Consider the following 19,010-nt stretch of genomic DNA (forward strand, 5'->3'; position numbering starts at 1 on the left):
CAGGCAGATCACGAGGTCAGGAGTTCGAGATGAGCCTGGCAAACATAGTGAAACCCCGTCTCTACTAAAAATACAATAATTAGCGGGGCATGGTGGGCGGACGCCTGTATTCCCAGCTACTTGGGCTGCTGAGGCAAGAGAATCACTTGAACCCAGGAGGCAGAGGTTGTGGTGAGCCAAGATCGCGCCACTGCACTCCAGCCTGGGCAACAGAGCGGGACTCTGTCTCAGAAAAAAAAAAAAAAAAAAAGAGTTTGGGACCTCCACACTTCTCTCTTGCTCTCTTGCCATATGACGTGCCTATTCCTGCTTCACGTTCAACCACGGGTAAAAGCTCTGAGACCTCACCAGAAGCTGAGCACATGCTGGTACCATGCTTGTACAACCTGCGGAACTGTAAGCCAATTAAATCTTTTTTTCTTTATAAATTACCCAGCCTCAGGATTTTCTTTTTTTTTTTTTTCTCGAGACGGAGTCTCGTTCTGTCGCCCAGGATGGAGTGCAGTGGCGCGATCTCGGCTCACTGCAAGCTCCGCCTCCCGGGTTCACGCCATTCTCCTGCCTCAGCCTCCCGAGTAGCTGGGATTACAGGCGCCCGCCACCACGCCCGGCTAATTTTTTGTATTTTTTAGTAGACACGGGGTTTCACCGTGTTAGCCAGGATGGTCTCGATCTCCTGACCTCGTGATCCGCCCACCTCGGACTCCCAGAGTGCTGGGATTACAGGCGTGAGCCACTGCGCCCGGCCAGGAGTTTCTTATTTAAATGAACATGTATCCTGTTTACAGTCTTTGGCTATTTTTATTATTATCTTCTTACCTGAAACTCTCTGAGCAAATCTGATTGCTTCTTCAACCGGGTCTGAGTTTACAACTTTATCTAGAATGCCCAGCTTGAGTGCTTCATCTGCTAAAATACGTCTTCCTGAAATAAACAACAACAACAATAACAACAAATCAAAGAGCGATGTAAGATTAAAGCAAAAGCATTACTCTCTCTAGTAGGAAAGGCTGTCTGTCTGGATATAAATATCTATTATTGAATAAAATAAGTAAGAACCACACTCACTGAAAGAATAGAAAGATCACCACTGAGGTAACCAGGAAACTTGGATTCAAGCTCCAGCTCTAGTTTCCACTATTTGTGTGACCATGAAGAACTGCACCAGGACCACAATTTCCTCATTGGCAAATGGCAATAATTATGCTTATCTCAGTAATTCTGAGTATTAAGTGAGAATAACAGATTCTCTTTATATTCTATAAATCTCTATAGAAGTACTTTATGAACTACAGATCTCTATAGAAATGTGAGATGTTTAGTTTTTTATAATAATAATAGAAGTAGCAGCAGCAGAGTAATATATAGTATCTACCTTATCCCTAGCACACCCCATTGGCTGTGGATGGTTAAAAAAAAAAAAGGACCGGGCACGGTGGCTCACGCCTGTAATCCCAGCACTTTGGGAGGCCAAGGCGGGTGGATCACCTGAGGTCAGGAGTTCGAGACCAGCCTGGCCAACATGGTGAAACCCTGTCTCTACTACAAATACAAAAATTAACTGGGCATGGTAGTGGGCACCTGTAATCCCAGCTACTCAGGAGGCTGAGGCAGGAGAATCGCTTGAACCCAGGAGGTGGAGATTACAGTGGGCTGAGATCACACCACTGCACTCCAGCCTGGGCAAAAGAGATAGACTCCATCTCCAAAAACAAAGAAAAAGAGAGAGAGAGAAAATTTAAAAAAAAGATAGTCCCCAGACATAAATATAGTTAACTCAATGAGAAAAAAATTAAGTTGACATTCTATAAGGTATAATTAAAATTACCTAGGACAAATGGGATGGATTTCTGCCAGTTTTTGGCTACCCAGCATCTCAGCTCCTCCCTTAGTTTGTGGAATTGCTATTGTGTGAGCTTTGAAGCCCTGCCTTCTACTACAGAAGCTGAAAAGGACACAGATGATTAGACAATTGACAATTTGACTGTGGCAGCTGGAGTGTGGCCCATGACCCCAGTTAGTGAACTGAGTGCTCTGTTGAGGGTTTTTAGCTTGGAGTTAGTGACACTAAGCAGCAGCGACAGGTTAAATCTCATTTCACAGGTGCCAATATCTAGTGTCTGGCAGTGGTGGTGCTGGTATACTTAGCATCCAATCATGCCATTGGCATCCTCCAGTACAGAATGTCAGCAATAGGAGATATAGAAGTTTGATGAGGGTTTGCACCGTTCCTAAATTTGCCTTGACAGTTCTTCACCAGTTGTAAATATGCAATTTGATCTGCATATTCTGAGGTAAGAGGTAGGGGACATCAGCATCCCCTACCCCAGGGTCAGAAGGAAGAAGACAGTGACACATCGCTTGCTTTCTTGCCAGTACCATCTTGCCTTCTGAAAAGCAACCATCAAATCCATCTTGGTGGCAACAGTCCCACAGTCTTCACTGCACTTACAGTGTTGGTGGATGCCATCGGAGACAAACCCTCCATTCCTGGTTCTTATTATTGCTTCAGAGAACTACAAATGAGTTTTCTTGATTGGATAGAAAGTTCAGTGATTTTTTTTTGGTAGGTCTCTCTTTGAAAAGCAGTATTTGGGCAGTTTTCTGGAAGTATCTCTGAAAACAGGCTTTCAGATCTCCTTCTGGAGTAAGGAGTAGGGTAAGAGGTACATAAATGGTTTCTGTACATAAGTATCCTGTGTATAAAATCACTTTGGTAAGGAGAGAGTGAATCAGCCTACCCAGGTTAAGGGAACCAAGCAAACACAAAATGGGACATGGAAACCTGGATATTATTATAAAAGGATTTTGAGGTCAACTAAGCAGGGAGAATGTGAGCTACTCCCAGATAGACTAAAAATTTCTCTAGCTGTAATGATTTCTTCTGGCTTGGATTTCACAAAATTGGAAGAGTACCACTACTATTCTAACAGAGTCAATGGGATTCCAAGTACAGTCATATGCCATATAATAACATTTCTGTCAACAACACATATATGATGGTGGTCCCATATGATTACGATATCATATATTTACTGTACCTTTTCTATGTTAGATGTGTTTAGATACATAAATACTTTCCATTGTGTTACAAATGCCTACAGTATTCAGTACAGTAACATGCTGCACAGGTTTGTAGCCTAGGAACAAGAGGCCATACCATATAGCCTAGGTGTGTAATAGGCTATACCATCTAGGTTTGTGTAAGTAAACCATGATGGTCACATAACAACAAACTCGCCTAATGATTTCTCAGAATATATCTCGTTGTTCAATGATGCATAGCTGGACTTTTATCCTGTATCAAAGAACTAAGGATCTAAAGACATGGCTCTGTATATCCAATCCAGATTCTTAGGCTGTAATTTAAAATTGTTTTTTCTTATGACATCGTAAGTGTAGATGACAACCACTGTCCAATGGGCTCTAATAAGAACCCTGTGTGCCCTAAGGGAACTGAGGTTGAGAGTTTCTTCTCCAACCTGAGTAATCTCAATTTTTTCCAATTTTCTTGATAGCTTCTTTTCTAACCTTTACAATTTTTTTCCACATGGAACTCTTTCCAAATGTCATATTCAAGTTTTCCTAAAATTGTGCAGACTACTTAAAAAGACAGGTGTATAATTCTAATGTTAGCTTTCTTCTAATTCACTATGACCTTTTCTATGCAAATCAAAACCCCATCATATTCTTACTGTTTTTACCTCTTTTCTGCATGTTAAAAATAGTGATGTTTCTTTAAGCAGTGCTTTGGGAAAAGGCCAATCCTAGTTCATTTTATTTCTTTTTGTCAAAGCCAGTTTTCCTGATTTCTTCCAATAATCTTGGTTTCAGGCAATACTGCAAATAGGGCAACAAAATTATTCAATATTCCCCCATATACTTTAAGTATCTGTAAACCCTCAAATTTACAGACTCATTTTACACTATTATGATTTCCTCCTATATTTTAGGCTTCTTTGCTTCCTATTTTGTCTTTTGCACAATAAATTGTCTCATGTGCTTTGAATCCTGTAGTATGTTGGATCCTAAGCATCCTTTTATGAATTTGACATTACATACTTAAAATAGTTCACATTCTTTAAACTGTATTTATTATACCATTATAAATTAAAACTATCTAACTTGATTTATTGAAGGAAATAAATGTCATATTTCTGGTCTAACTCTCCTTTTATACACTACAGATTTATAAAATCATCCCCCCATTTAAAGGAAAAATCCATTTTTAATGCATATAGCCTCATGATATTTTTTTTTCTTTTTTTTTTTTTTTGAGATGGAGTCTCACTGTCACCCAGGCTGGAGTGCAGTGGCGCAATCTCGGCTCACTGCAACCTCTGCTTCCTGGGTTCAAGCGATTTTCCTGCCTCAGTCTCTCGAGTAGTTGGTACTACAGGCCCATGCCACCACCCCCGGCTACTTTTTTGTATTTTTAGTGGAGATGAGGTTTCACCATGTTGACCAGGCTGGTATCAAATTCCTGACCTTAGGTGATCCACCTGCCTTGGACTCTGAAAGTGCTGGGATTACAGGCATGAGCCACCGTGCCCGGCCCGCCTCACATTATTTTCTAATTTGGCTAATGTATACACAATTTTATATCATGGTTTCTATACGGATTTCTACTAGCAGTTATCAAACGGGTCTTAGGACCCCTTTGCACTCTTAAAAATTATGGAGAACTCCAAAAAGCTTGTGTTTATGTAGGTTATATATATCAATATTTACTGTATTAGAAATTAAAACTGCAAGCTTTTGTCTGGGTGTAGAAATCACAAGGCCGGATGTGGTGGCTCACACCTGTAATCCCAGCACTTTGGGAGGCCAAGGCAGGAGGATCACCTGAGGTCAGGAGTTTGAGACCAGCCTGGCCAACATGGTGCCCCCCGCCCCCTGTTTCTACTAAAAATACAAACATTGGCTGGGTGTGCCACGAGCCTGTGGACCCAGCTACTTGGGAGGCTGAAGCAGGATAACTACTTGAACCTGGGAGGCGGAGGCTGCAGTGAGCCGAGATCGTGCCACTGCACTCCAGCCTGGGTGACAGTGGGAGATACCATCTCAGAAAAATAAAAATAAAAAAAGAAAAATCACTGCAAGCTTTAAAAATGTTTCTTTATTAGTTCATTTTAAAATAATAAACTCACTGCATGTTAGCATAATGTTTTTATGCAAAATAATTATATAAAAAATTTAAAAATTAGGGAGAAGAGTGCAATTGTTTTATATTTTTGCAAATTTATTTACTGTCTGATTTAACAGAAGACAGCTGCATTCTCATTCTCCTATTGCTTCTGCATTCAATCTGTTGTGATATCACAAGGCATATTACAGTCTCTGGAAAATTCCACTACACATTTGTGAGAAAGGCAAGTAATGTCTTATTATTACGAAAATAGATCTGATCTCAAGGACTCTGTAAAGGTCTTAGGCCACACCCGAGAGTCCCTGGACCACACTTTAAGAACCCTGAGATTTAGATCATCATTCTTCATAAATATTACATAGCATCCTAGCATGTGAATATTCCACAGCATTTACTTGTGGCTGGTATAATTTTAGTTCCTTTGAAAGTAACCTTTCGTTTTATTTGTTTTTATCCTGGGGAAGCTTGCAGGATTCTATTTTCTGGAAGTTTAAAATCTTTACCAAGACACATCAAAGAATTATCTCCTCATCAGTTTTTCCAGGAAAATGGCATGCTTGTTAAAGTACAATCTCTGATGCTATTTAATGTCTGAAGAATTTCTTCTATTTTTTCTTTTGGTTATTGCTTTCATTTTTTTTGCCTTGTGCTTTGGGAGCACGTATTATTCAAAGCAGAGACCTCTGTTATGTATCTTCCATGTCTGCTATCTTCATTTACATTTTATTTATCTTTTTGTTAAATTCTTCTGAATTCTTTAGATGTGTCTCTTTTTATCCTCTATGTTGTTGATTCTGTAATCTATCCTACCACATCTTTTTATTGCTTCAAAAAGAAATTATTTTGGCTAAGGTTTTGATTTTAAATACGGTGTTCTTATTTAACAAAATATTTTCTTTTCTAGTTTAGAATAATGTGAGTTTTCTAAAATTTTTTGTTTTCTTTAATGTTTCAGCAGACTGACGTTTATGTTTCTTTTTTTTTAAGTCATAAAATATTTTCATAGGTTTTAGAGTTGCAGTTGTTTTAGTTTTAAGAATTTTTGTGTGTCTTTCTTTTGGTCATAGAACAATATTTGCTGATATTAATTATTTCTGCCTGAGAGCCTTGAGGTGCTAGTACTAAAAAATGTATAGCGAAAACCCACCTGGACCTACAGCTAAAAGGCAGGCAGGATAAAGATGTTACTCCCAATTCCTCTTTCCCCCCATAGTATTCTGGGTAGTAAGAGGTATCCCACCAAAGTCTAGAGCTCAAAGCCTGTCCTGTGAATGAGTATAGAGAAACTCATCAGGGCTGGGGCCAAGCTTTATGAGAATACAGCAGAGCTTTCTATGCTTTTCTGTGAACAAAGGGGACAGCACCTAGAAAATAAAACAGAAAGAGGAGCAGGACACTGTAGTCCTGTCAGTTGATTGGACAGAGAACATCAGCGAACGAACTGCAATATGATCAGGCATATCCTTTGTGGTTACTGCTAAAGATTCGTTCATTTTCAGACGGCATTCTAAGGAAATTGTGGAGAAGGTTGCTGTTGTAATCACTCTACTTTCCAGAATTACCTGTCTTATGGATTTCAGAAGATCAGAAAGGGTTAGCCACCTAAATCTATTTACTTATTAATTTCCTATGGGAACAGTGCCTACAAAGTTGGCACTTTTTTTCCTCATTCACATCAGTAGGGAATCTTCAACTTTCACAATTTAACTAATCTTTTTCTTTAACACCCTTTCTTAGAAAAAAAAAAATTTCGGCCGGGCGCAGTGGCTCACACCTGTAATCCCAGCACTTTGGGAGGCCGAGGCGGGTGGCTCACTTGAGGTCGGCGGTTTGAGACCAGCCTGGTCAACATGGTGAAACCTTGTCTCTACTAAAAATACAAAAAATTAGCCGGGTGTGGTGGCACGTGCCTGTAATCCCAGCTACTGGAGAGGCTGAAGCAGGAGAATCACTTGAACCCGGGAGGTGGAGGTTGTGGTGAGCTGAGATCGTGCCACTGTACTCCAGTCTGGGAGACAGAATGAGACCCTGTCACCAAAAAAAAAAAAAAAAAAAAAAAGAAAGAAAAAAATATTTTCCAAACCAAAGCAGGATTCTGAATATCGTGATTACTAATAGCTTTTGTATTAGTAGTGTATTACTGCTGTAACAAATTACCACAAACTCAGAGGCTTAAAACACACATTTACTATCTTATAGTTTAAGATGTCAAAAGTCTAAAACAGGTCAGCAGAAGGTGTTCCTTCTGGATGCTGTAAGAAAGAATGTTTTCCTTGTCTTTTCCACTTCTAGAAGCTGCTTACATTACTTGGCTTGTGACCTCTCCTGCCATCTTCAAAGCCAGCACATAGTGTCTTCTCTCTTCTCTGACCTTCTGCTTCCCTCTTATAAGGACTCTTGTGATAAAATGGGCTGAGCTAGATAGTCCAGGGTAATCTCCCTCTCAAGATCTTTAATGTAATCACACGTACAAAGGTTATTTTGAATGTAACATAATATATTCACAGGTTCTGGGAATTAGGACGTGGACATCTTTGGGGGCCAGATACCGTTTATGAAATGTGGTCTGTTTAACAGGCACTATATCAGAAGCATGTCATGTTATTTCATTATTCCTTAAAACAACCATGTGGTTGTTTACTGATGAGAAAACAGAGGCTTAGAGGAGTTCAGAAGACCTCTCTCTCCTAAACCCCAGGCCTGTCTATCCAATTGTCTATTTGACATCTCCACTTGGATGTGTAACAGGCCTCTCAAACTTAACATGTCCCAAATGAAGCTCTTGTGATACTTCCATAAAACCTGCTCTATCAGCAGAAATCCCAGTCTTAGTGATGGCACCATCCTTCCAGCTACTCACTCTGGCCATTAGATCATCCTTGACTCTCCTCTTTCTCTCACATCTCGTATCTGCTCTGTCACAAAATCCTGTTGGCTCTACTTTCAAAATATCTCCAGAATCTGACCATATCTTATGATTTACATTGCCACTACTCAGATCCAAGCCCCCATCATCTCTCCCTTGGATTATGATAGCAGCCCTCAGTCTTCCTGTTTTTGTCCTTGTCTCCAATTAGTATATTTTCAACAGCCAGAGTGATTGTTTGAAAAACCTAAGTGAGAGCATGTTACTCCTCTGCTTGAAACACTCCAATGCCTTTCTTCCTCATTCACAAGAAAAGCCAAAGTTCTTTCTATAACCTTCCAAGCCCAAAAAGATATGACTTCATCCTCTTACTACTTTTCCCCTGACTCATTTCATTCCAGTTACATTGACCTTCTTGCTGTTCTTTGAACATTCCAAGCATGTCCCTGCCTCAGGTCTTTGTACTTGCTATTTTCTGTATGTGGGATTTCTTCCTCCAGATATTGGCATAACAAGCTTCCTTACCTTCTTCAGGTCTTTACTCAGATGTCATTTTGTAGAGAAACCTTTTCTAGCTACCCTACCTGAAATATTAATTCACCTCCCATTCCTAACATTTTATATCTCTCCCTTTCTGTTTTGTGTTTTCTTAGCACTTATCTCCACCTGTCTATATCTATCTATCTATCTAAATTATATAATAGGTAGGCATATGTGTGTGCATACAGTTGTGGTGGCTAGTCTCCAAAGTGACCCCCAGCAAGTCTAACCACTTGGTATTCAAGCTTCTTCCCATACTGAATAGAGAAGACCTGCATAGCCAATAGGAGAGTTTAGAAAAGATGGCATGTGACTCTAACGGTAGGTCATAAAAGACACTGTGGTGTCTTTCTGGAGGAAGCGAGCTGTCACACTGTGTGAATACTCAGGAAGCTCTATGGAGAGGTCCCCGTACATAGGAAAGGAAGCCTCCTGCCAAGGTCAGCACCATCTAGTCATCCATGTGACTGGGTCATCTTGAAAGTAGATCCTCCAGGCCGGGCACAGTGGCTCACGCCTGTAATCCCAGCACTTTGGGAGGCTGAGGCAGGTGGATCACCTGTGGTCAGGAGTTCAAGACCAGCCTGGCCAACATGGTGAAACCCTGTCTCTACTAATAATACAAAAATTAGCCGGGCATGGTGGCGCATTTCTGTAATCCCAGTTACTCAGGAGGCTGAGGCAGGAGAATCACTTGAACCCAGGAGATGGAAGTTACAGTGAGCCAAGATTGTGCCACTGCACTCCAGCCTGGGTGACAAGAGTGAAACTCCATCTCCAAAAAAAAAAAAAAAAAGAAAGAAAGAAAGAAAGTAGATCCTCCAGATGACTACAGCCCTAGTCACAGTGTCTTGACTCCGATCTCATGACAAACCCTGAGCTATATCCCAAGTAAGCTGCTCCCAAATTCCTAACACAGAAACTAGGAAAAAACTGTAAATTAAACCATGACTTACAATGAATCTGAGAGTCATCTCACTTTGAAAGCTGTGGGGAAAAGGACATTTTTGAATTAATGAAATATGACAATGATGATTATTGTTGTGATTATTGTTCTGTTCTTCATACAATCTCCATGAAGGCAGAAATTTTTGTTGGTTCATTTCACTGCTATAGGCCTAATGCCTAGAAAAGGGCCCAGCATATGAGAGAAAATTAATAATTGCTGGATGAATAAATAAAAATTAAGTTGCACAAGGCATATTATTTATATGTGGTAGAGTTGGGATTCAAAGCCAGGTCTTTGATTCTAAAGCTTGTGCTCTTTTTATGGCCTGTTCTTCAGCATATAGTCTAATACCAAGATCTTCATCTCACTTTTCTTCAATTTTCCTCTTTTACTAAAAAAGACAGATCTTTGGGTATAATAATATATACCTGGCTGGGCGCAGCAGCTCACGCCTGTAATCCCAGCACTTTGGGGGGCCAAGGCAGGCGGATCACCTGAGGTTGGTAGTTCCAGACCAGCCTGACCAACATGGAGAAACCCCGACTCTACTAAAAATACAAAATTAGCTGGGCGTGGTGGTGCATGCCTGTAATCCCAGCTACTTGGGAGGCTGAGGCAGGAGAATTGCGTGAACTCAGGAGGCAGAGGTTGCGGTGAGCTGAGATCGCAGCATTGCATCCCCGTCTGGGCAACAAGAGTGAAACTCGGTCTCAAAAAAAAATAGGTCAGGCCCAGTGGCTCACACCTGTAATCCCAGCACTTTGGGAGGCCGAGGCAGGCAGATCACCTGAGGTGAGGAGTTCGAGACAAGCCTGACCAACATGGAGAAACCCTGTCTCTACTAAAAATACAAAAATTAGCCAGGTGTGGAGGTGCATGCCTGTAATCCCAGCTACTTGGGAGGCTGAGGCAGGAGAATCGCTTGAACCTGGGAGGCGGAGGTTGTGGTGAGTTGAGATCGCGCCATTGCACTCCAGCCTGGGCAACTAGAGCAAAACTCCATCTCAAGAAAGAAATTATTAATAAATAATAATAATATATATCTAACAATTATGGAGTGATCACCATGTGTGGGGCTGTCCTAAGGACATTGTACGCAGTAACTTATCCGATTTTCGCCACATCACCCTATAGTAGGTGCTATTCCTAGCTACATTTATAAAGAAAATAAGGCACAAAAAAGTAAGATGACTGACCTAAATTCTTATTATTAGTTATATCTGTTTGAAGTGTATTGTTGCATATGTTCTTTCTTCTAAATTGACCTCAACTGAAAGTCTCTTTAATGTCTTACAAACAAATATATGGTAAACCTGAGGCAGGAGAATCACTTGAACCCAGGAGGCGGAGGTTGCACTGAGCAGAGATCACTCCACTGCATTCCAGCCTGGCGATAGAGTGAGACTCCGTCTCAAAAAAAAAAAAAAAAAAAAAAAAATATATATATATATATATATATGGAGAGAGAGAGAGAGAGAGAGAGAAAGAGAGTAAATCCAGGGTCTCTAAATGTGGTCTAGTGTTGTAGTGTTCACATTCTCTATTGAGAAAGAACAACTTATAAAGCACCGGGCTGGCCGGATGTGGTGGCTCACACCTGTAATCCCAGCACTTTTGGGAGGCCAAGGCAGGTGGATCACCTGAGGTAGGGAGTTTGAGACCAGCCTGACAAACATGGAGAAACCCCGTCTCTACTAAAAGTACAAAATTAGCTGGGCATGGTAGCACATGCCTGTAATCCCAGCTACTTGGGAGGCTGAGGCAGGAGAATCACTTGAACCCGGGAGGTGGAGGTTGCCGTGAGCCGAGATCATGCCACTGCACTCCAGCCTGGGCTACAAGAGCGAAACTCCGTCTCAAAAAAAAGAAAATAAAAAGAACAACTTGCATTTCTAGCTGATATCTTAATACTTGCCAGTGAAAAATTTAGTCATTTTCATATTAAAATTTGAAAACATACCTTGAAAATTATGGTTTTCTCATTTATATTACAATTTTTTTTTAGATGAGTCTCGCTCTGTTGCCCAGGCTGGAGTGCAGTGGCGTAGTCTCAGCTCACCGCAACCTCCGCTTCCTGGGTTCAAGCGATTCTCCTGCCTCAGTCTCCCGAGTAGCTGGGATTACAGGTGCCTGCCACCATGCCCAGGTAATTTTTTTGTATTTTAATAGAGATGGGGTTTCACCATGCTGGTTTCCAACTCCTGACCTCAAGTGATCTGCCCATCTCGGCCTCCCAAAGTGCTGGGATTACAGGCATGAGCCACTGCGTGCGGCCTATATTACAATTTCTAAATTAGTTCTGAATATAATGCAGTCTATGTGAACACCAGTGTTGATGAATAGTCACTTGAACTGAAATAAAATCCTAAATTTGATTCGCTCTTTGCATGCACTTTCATTTAAAAGGCTCTCACATTTGATCTTCACGATAACGTTTGAGAAGCTCAGAAAGGTAGTTCTCCATATTACAGATCAGAAAATCGAGAGGCCAAGAAGTTCAAGAATCCTTTTATGGTTACATAGGGAGTAGGTGGTCAAGCCAGAATTTTTCTAAATCCTAGTCCAATTCTTCACACTAATCTAGACAGTTGTTGCCAAGGTCTATACTGACCTGAGGTAATTAAGTCAAGTGCAGCAGGAACTCCAGTGAGTCTGGGGAGAAGCTGGGTTCCTCTTGCACCAGGGAGAAGTCCCAGTGTAACTTCTGGTAAGCCAACTTGAGCCTATCAAAGATTGAAGGCATAAAGGCCATTAGCATGAGATGGTATGTTCAGAGTTAAGGCAAGCGTTTCCCTGGATTTCCTGTATTCTCAAAAGCATGGTGTCACTGAATTCAGCAAGATTTCTACAGGGCAAATTAGTGCACATCCTTTTCTTTAATTAACAGCATAAACAGAGCTGTGCTGTCCCTAACTCTTCATGTTGAAACACATTTTTAGCTTCTTACACATTTATTCTCTGACTGTAATATGACCTGTCTCAGCCAACAAAAATAATTTTCTCTGGAAACAACTTTCTGGAGTCCTGCAAGAATCAGGAAACACAAGAAAGTGAAAAGACAACCCACAGAATGGGAGAGAATATACATATCTTACAAATTATATATCTGATATAGGATTTCTATCTAGAATATATAAAGAACTTTACAAATCAATAATAAAAGACAAGCAACCTGTTAAAAATGGGCAAACGATCTGGATAGACATTCCTCCAAAGAAGAGATACAAATGGCCAGTAAGCACTTGAAAAGATGCTCAACATCATTAGCCATCAGAGGAATACAAATCAAAACCACAAGGTAACACTTTATACCCACTAAGATGGCTATTTAAAAAACGACAGACAATAACAGGTGTTGGAGAGGATATGGAGAATACAGAATCCTCATACATTGCTAGTGGGAATATAAAACAGAGTAGACACTTTGGAAAACAATCTGGCAGCTTCTTAAATGTTAAACATAGAGTTACCATATGACCCATCAAATCCATTCCTGGGTATATACCCAAGAGAAATGAAAACATATGCCCACAAAAATCCTGTATACAGATTTTCATGGCACCATGGTTCATAAAAGCCAAAAAAGTAGAAGCAACCCAAATGTCCATCAATGATTAGTGGATAAATGAAAGGTAGTACATCCATACAATGGAATATTATTCAGCAAAATCAATAAAGAACTGATTCATGCTACAACGTGGATGAACATTGAAAACATGCTAAACAAAAAAAGCCAGTCACAGGAGACCACATATCATATGATTCTGTTTATATGAAATATCCAGAATAGGCAAAACATGCTAAACAAAAAAAGCCAGTCACAGGAGACCACATATCGTATGATTCTGTTTATATGAAATATCCAGAATAGGCAAAACATGATAAACAAAAAAAGCCAGTCACAGGAGACCACATATCATATGATTCTGTTTATATGAAATATCCAGAATAGGCAAAACATGATAAACAAAAAAAGCCAGTCACAGGAGACCACATATCATATGATTCTGTTTATATGAAATATCCAGAATAGGCAAAACATGATAAACAAAAAAAGCCAGTCACAGGAGACCACATATCGTATGATTCTGTTTATATGAAATATCCAGAATAGGCAAAACATGATAAACAAAAAAAGCCAGTCACAGGAGACCACATATCATATGATTCTGTTTATATGAAATATCCAGAATAGGCAAAACATGATAAACAAAAAAAGCCAGTCACAGGAGACCACATATCATATGATTCTGTTTATATGAAATATCCAGAATAGGCAAAACATGATAAACAAAAAAAGCCAGTCACAGGAGACCACATATCATATGATTCTGTTTATATGAAATATCCAGAATAGGCAAAACATGATAAACAAAAAAAGCCAGTCACAGGAGACCACATATCATATGATTCTGTTTATATGAAATATCCAGAATAGGCAAAACATGATAAACAAAAAAAGCCAGTCACAGGAGACCACATATCATATGATTCTGTTTATATGAAATATCCAGAATAGGCAAAACATGATAAACAAAAAAAGCCAGTCACAGGAGACCACATATCATATGATTCTGTTTATATGAAATATCCAGAATAGGCAAAACATGATAAACAAAAAAAGCCAGTCACAGGAGACCACATATCATATGATTCTGTTTATATGAAATATCCAGAATAGGCAAAACATGATAAACAAAAAAAGCCAGTCACAGGAGACCACATATCATATGATTCTGTTTATATGAAATATCCAGAATAGGCAAAACATGATAAACAAAAAAAGCCAGTCACAGGAGACCACATATCGTATGATTCTGTTTATATGAAATATCCAGAATAGGCAAAACATGCTAAACAAAAAAAGCCAGTCACAGGAGACCACATATTGTATGATTCTGTTTATATGAAATATCCAGAATAGGCAAATCTATAGAGACAGAAAGTAGATTAGTAGGTGCTTAGGATAGCAGAAGGTGATGGAGGATTACTGCTACAGGATACAAGGTTTCTTTTTGGGGTGATAAAATGTTCTAAAATTTACTGTGATAATGGTTGCACAACTCTGAGAATATACTCATATACCATTGAATTGCACACTTTAAATGAATGAATTGTATGGTATTTAAATTACATCTCCAAAAGGCTATTTTTTTTTTTTAAAGTCAGACAGTAATCTCAGTCCAGACAAGAAGGGGAGCTTGAGTCCTTTATTTTATTGCCTTTCTTGGCCCATTCCATTTAAAAGTGGCTGAGGATCTGTTAGCCATTTACAGGTATAAGGGTGAGAGGAGGGTACTTAAATGCGGACTGCCATTTACCCAGATCGTGATTCTAGCAGTTCCAAAATACCTCACATATGTGAGGCCTGTCTTACATGAGGTTTTCCTAACAGTCAATCACCATTCTTTCCATCACTGCCCATCTCTACCTCTTTACTTATTGCTAGTAACTCAGATCTGCACTCAGGGTACAGGTTGTGGTAAGAGGGACACAGAAAAGGAGCACTTAGGACATATATGTGTATTTATTTGTAAGCATTTATAAAAATTAAAACACCATTGGGAAATGGTTAAATAAATTCTGGTATAGCCATATGATTGAATATTATGCCGCCACTTATAATGATTTTTTTTCTTTTTTTTGAGACAGAGTTTAGCTCTTGTTGCCCAGGCTGGAGTGCAATGGTGCGATCTCGGCTCACTGCAACCTCCGTCTCCTGGGTTCAAGTGATTCTCCTGCCTCAGCCTCCCAAGTAGCTGGGATTACAGGCATGTGCTACCACGCCCAGCTAATTTTGTATTTTTAGTAGAGGCGGGATTTCTCCATGTTGGTCAGGCTGGTCTTGAACTCCTGACCTCAGGTGATCCGCCTGCCTTGGCCTCCCAAAGTGCTGGGATTACAGGCGTGAGCCACTGTTCTTGGCCTATAATGATATTTTTAAAGAATATTTACCAGAAGAGTAACATGATTTCTCCTCAGCCACAGAGGCCAGAAGGCATGAAATAACATACACAAAGTGCCAAAAGAAAACAACTGTCAATCAAGAATTCTATATCCAACAAAACTATCTTTTGAAAATGAAGGCAAAATTAACACATTTCCAGATAAAGAAAAACTGATTTTGTTGTTAGTATATTTGCCCTATAAGAAATACTTCAGGCTGTAATGAAAAGGCACTAGACAGTAACTTGAATTCACATGAAGAAATAAAGAACACTGATAAAGAGTAACTTCATGGGTAAATATAAAAGACAGTAATAATGTATTTTTCATTTGTAATTCCTCTTTTTCTTATCTGATTTAGGACCACTATGTAAAGCAACAATGATAAATCTATGTTAAGCAGTACATAATGTATGAAGATATAACTTGTGACAATAATAGCATAAAGGGGCAAGTAATGGAGGCTACAGAGGAGCAAATTTTTTGTATATTATTAAAATTCAGTCAGTATTAATCTGAACTACATTGTCATAAATTAAGATGTTAATTGTAATCACCAAGTTAACCACCATTAAGAAAATAACTAAAAATATATATAGTAAAAGAAACAGCAAGAAAGTTACAAGGGTATACTTTTACATTTAACACAAATGAAAGCAGTAATGGAGGAATTGAACAAAAAAACCAAAAAGCATAGAAAACAAATAGCAAAATGGCAGATGTTCTTCCTTATCAGTAATTACATTAAATATAAGTGTATTAAGTTCTCTAATTAAAAGACAGAGATTGGCAGAATAAAGAATATTTAATTATGGGTTAAATATTATAGTATAAAAATAGAGTATAAACTAAATACAAAAAAAGCCCAAATGTGGTTTTTTTTGTTGTTGTTTGTTTTGAGATGGAGACCCGCTCTGTCACCAGGCTGGAGTGCAGTGGCACGATCTCAGCTTACTGCAACCTCCACCTTCCAGGTTCAAGTGATTCTCCTGCCTCAGCCTCCCGAGTAGCTGGGATTACAGGCGCCTGCCAGCATGCCCAGCTAATTTTTGTATTTTTAGTAGAGACGGGGTTTCATCATGTTGGCCAGGATGGTCTCGATCTCCTGACTTTGTGATCTGCCTGCCTCGGCCTCCCAAAGTGCTGGGATTACAGGCATGAGCCACCATGCCCAGCCAATGTACTTTTTTTTAAAGGACATTTTTCAAAGGAAAAAGAATCTGTAAGAAAAAATTACATACAAAAAAAGACTAGAATGAAATAGAATGTTAATAGTGGTTATTTCTGAACTGTGAGTTTATGATGATTTTAGTTTACATCTGTATACTTTCTTATGTTCTCTAGTTTAGTAGAATGAATATTATTTTCATCATTAGAAAAATATATTAATTACAAAAATGCCACCATTATATATACTGTGATACACAGTGGTATCACAGACCTCATCTGACATGTCTAACAGCCTAAATTAAACCTATTTCCAGAAATTTCCCCATATTTACTAGTTTTGTGCTATTTTCCAATAGAAATTTGTCTTATTAGGTACTGATAATTATAAGGGACCATGAAACAGAAATCTTTGAGTTATCAAAGAAGTATTTAAATGTATACTTAGAAGTGACAGCCAACATATTTAATACTCATACTGCATGAGCACTGCATCAGTGAAACCTGATATGGGTCATAGTACTGGAGGTAGAGTCTCGGGGCTCTCTATTGACTCAGGAGTTCCCCTGTAGCTGATGGATCAGAGAGAGGCCCTAGGGCTAAGGTTAAGGGAAACAAGATCATAGAGAGGCCCTAGGGCTAAGGTTAAGGGAAACAAGGAGTTCCCCTGTAGCTGATGGATCAGAGAGAGGCCCTAGGGCTAAGGTTAAGGGAAACAAGATCATAGAGAGGCCCTAGGGCTAAGGTTAAGGGAAACAAGGAGTTCCCCTGTAGTTGATGGATCATAGAGAGGCCCTAGGGCTAAGGTTAAGGGAAACAAGGGAAACTAGGGCTCAGAGTAGCAGGTGTTTACTTACCAGAATGGAAGTGAAGTATTTGAACATTTTAACAATTAGTACCACTGTACTGGCACGTAACAGCTGAAGTCGTTAACCAGTAAGCTAACCATTCAAAATTATCACCTCTGGGCCGGGTGCAGTGGCTCATGCCTGTAATCCCAGCACTTTGGGAAGCCAAGGTGGGTGGTCACCTGAGGTCAGGAGTTTGAGACCAGCCTGGCCAACATGGTGAAACCCCGTCTCTACTAAAAATACAAAAATTTGCTGGGCATGGTAGCATGCCTGTAGTCCCAGCTTCTTGGGAGGCTGAGGAAGGAGAATTGCTTGAACTCGGGAGGTGGAGGTTGCAGTGAGCCGAGATCACACCACTGCACTCCAGCCTGGAAGACAGAGTGAGACTCCATCTCAAAAAAACAAATAAATAAAATAATCACCGCTGATACTTATGACTACATTTAGAGTTTGCCCTAAAGAAAAGCCCCACACACCAGCCACTATATAGAGCCTTGGTTGTTACCTCTGCGTGGGCAATCCTATAGTGACAGCCCAGGGCCAGCTCTAGTCCCCCTCCGAAAGCCATGCCTTGGATTGCTGCCACCACGGGCTTCTCATTTCTCTGTATTTCATCTACTACATGTCCCAGTGTAAGGCCAAATGTCCTAGGAGCACTGAAGCCACGAATATCAGCACCTAAGGGCACAAAGACAAGGAGAAAACAGAGTTGAGAAATACATGGGCATTGTTATATAACAGTAAGTTACCTGATACTCTTTAAAAAATTAATTTGTTTTATTTATTTCTTAATTTTTTTTAGAGTTCCTGATGACTAAAGTCTCAGACCTCTTTGGGCCCTTACACTTCATCCTTGGCTGAAAACAAGTATATTGGAGAATGTAGAATGCTATGAGAGAAAATCCTTGAATCTTTACCAGGAATTCTGTAATTTTCTAAAATCTATCTTTCCATATAATAAGTAGTAAGTCTATATTTAAAAAAATTAAAAATCTCAGAAAAGGGGAATAGGGACTCTCCTCCAAAGATCATTATTCTGAGATTGAGTCAGCCCCTCTCATTTTTGTATGTGTGATACTGTTAATCAAGTCTATTCACAGCAACTTAGCTCCATATCTTTGTTAAGGGCATGAGTCATCACAATATAAAATATCAGGGTAACATGTATACATATTTATGAGTTATATGTTAATCAAGCAGCTTAGAATTATGTTTTTGTAATAGATTTTTATCTTCAATAAAAATAATATTTATTGCTTTTCCTGATTATAAAAATAACATGTATTATGGAAAATTTGAAAACCACGCAAAATTAAAAAGAACATGAAGATCACCCTAAATATCACTATATAGCCATAATTTAATATTTTGAGGAGTTCTTAGTTTTTTTCCACATGTGTGAGCGAGCATTACAACCTGAGCTCTGCCTTCTGTCAGATCAGTAGCGGCATTAGATTCTCACAGGAGCGTGAACCCTATTGTGAACTGCACAAGTGAGGGATCTAGGTTGCGCTCTCCTTATGAGAATCTAATGCCTGATGA

At 39.5% G+C, this 19,010-nt stretch overlaps 1 protein-coding gene across 4 annotated transcripts in view; it reads right to left on the bottom strand.

Moving 5' to 3' along the window:
- EHHADH (enoyl-CoA hydratase and 3-hydroxyacyl CoA dehydrogenase) overlaps positions 1–19,010 on the bottom strand; it is a 63,426-nt gene that overhangs the window by 26,693 nt on the left and 17,723 nt on the right. For 2 of the 4 annotated variants that reach the window (NM_001966.4, NM_001166415.2), the window contains exons 3-5: positions 17,974–18,146; positions 12,116–12,227; positions 820–924 (exon numbers count right to left, since the gene is read on the bottom strand). In NM_001966.4, the coding sequence (NP_001957.2) occupies positions 820–924; positions 12,116–12,227; positions 17,974–18,146 (390 nt within the window). Of the gene's footprint in view, positions 1–819; positions 925–9,511; positions 9,543–12,115; positions 12,228–17,973; positions 18,147–19,010 lie in introns of those variants that run through there. The other 2 variants (XM_047447640.1, XM_047447641.1) reach the window with 2 other exon arrangements.

Source organism: Homo sapiens, chromosome 3 (genome assembly GCF_000001405.40).
Source record: "Homo sapiens chromosome 3, GRCh38.p14 Primary Assembly".
NCBI classification, from domain to species: Eukaryota; Metazoa; Chordata; class Mammalia; order Primates; family Hominidae; genus Homo; species Homo sapiens.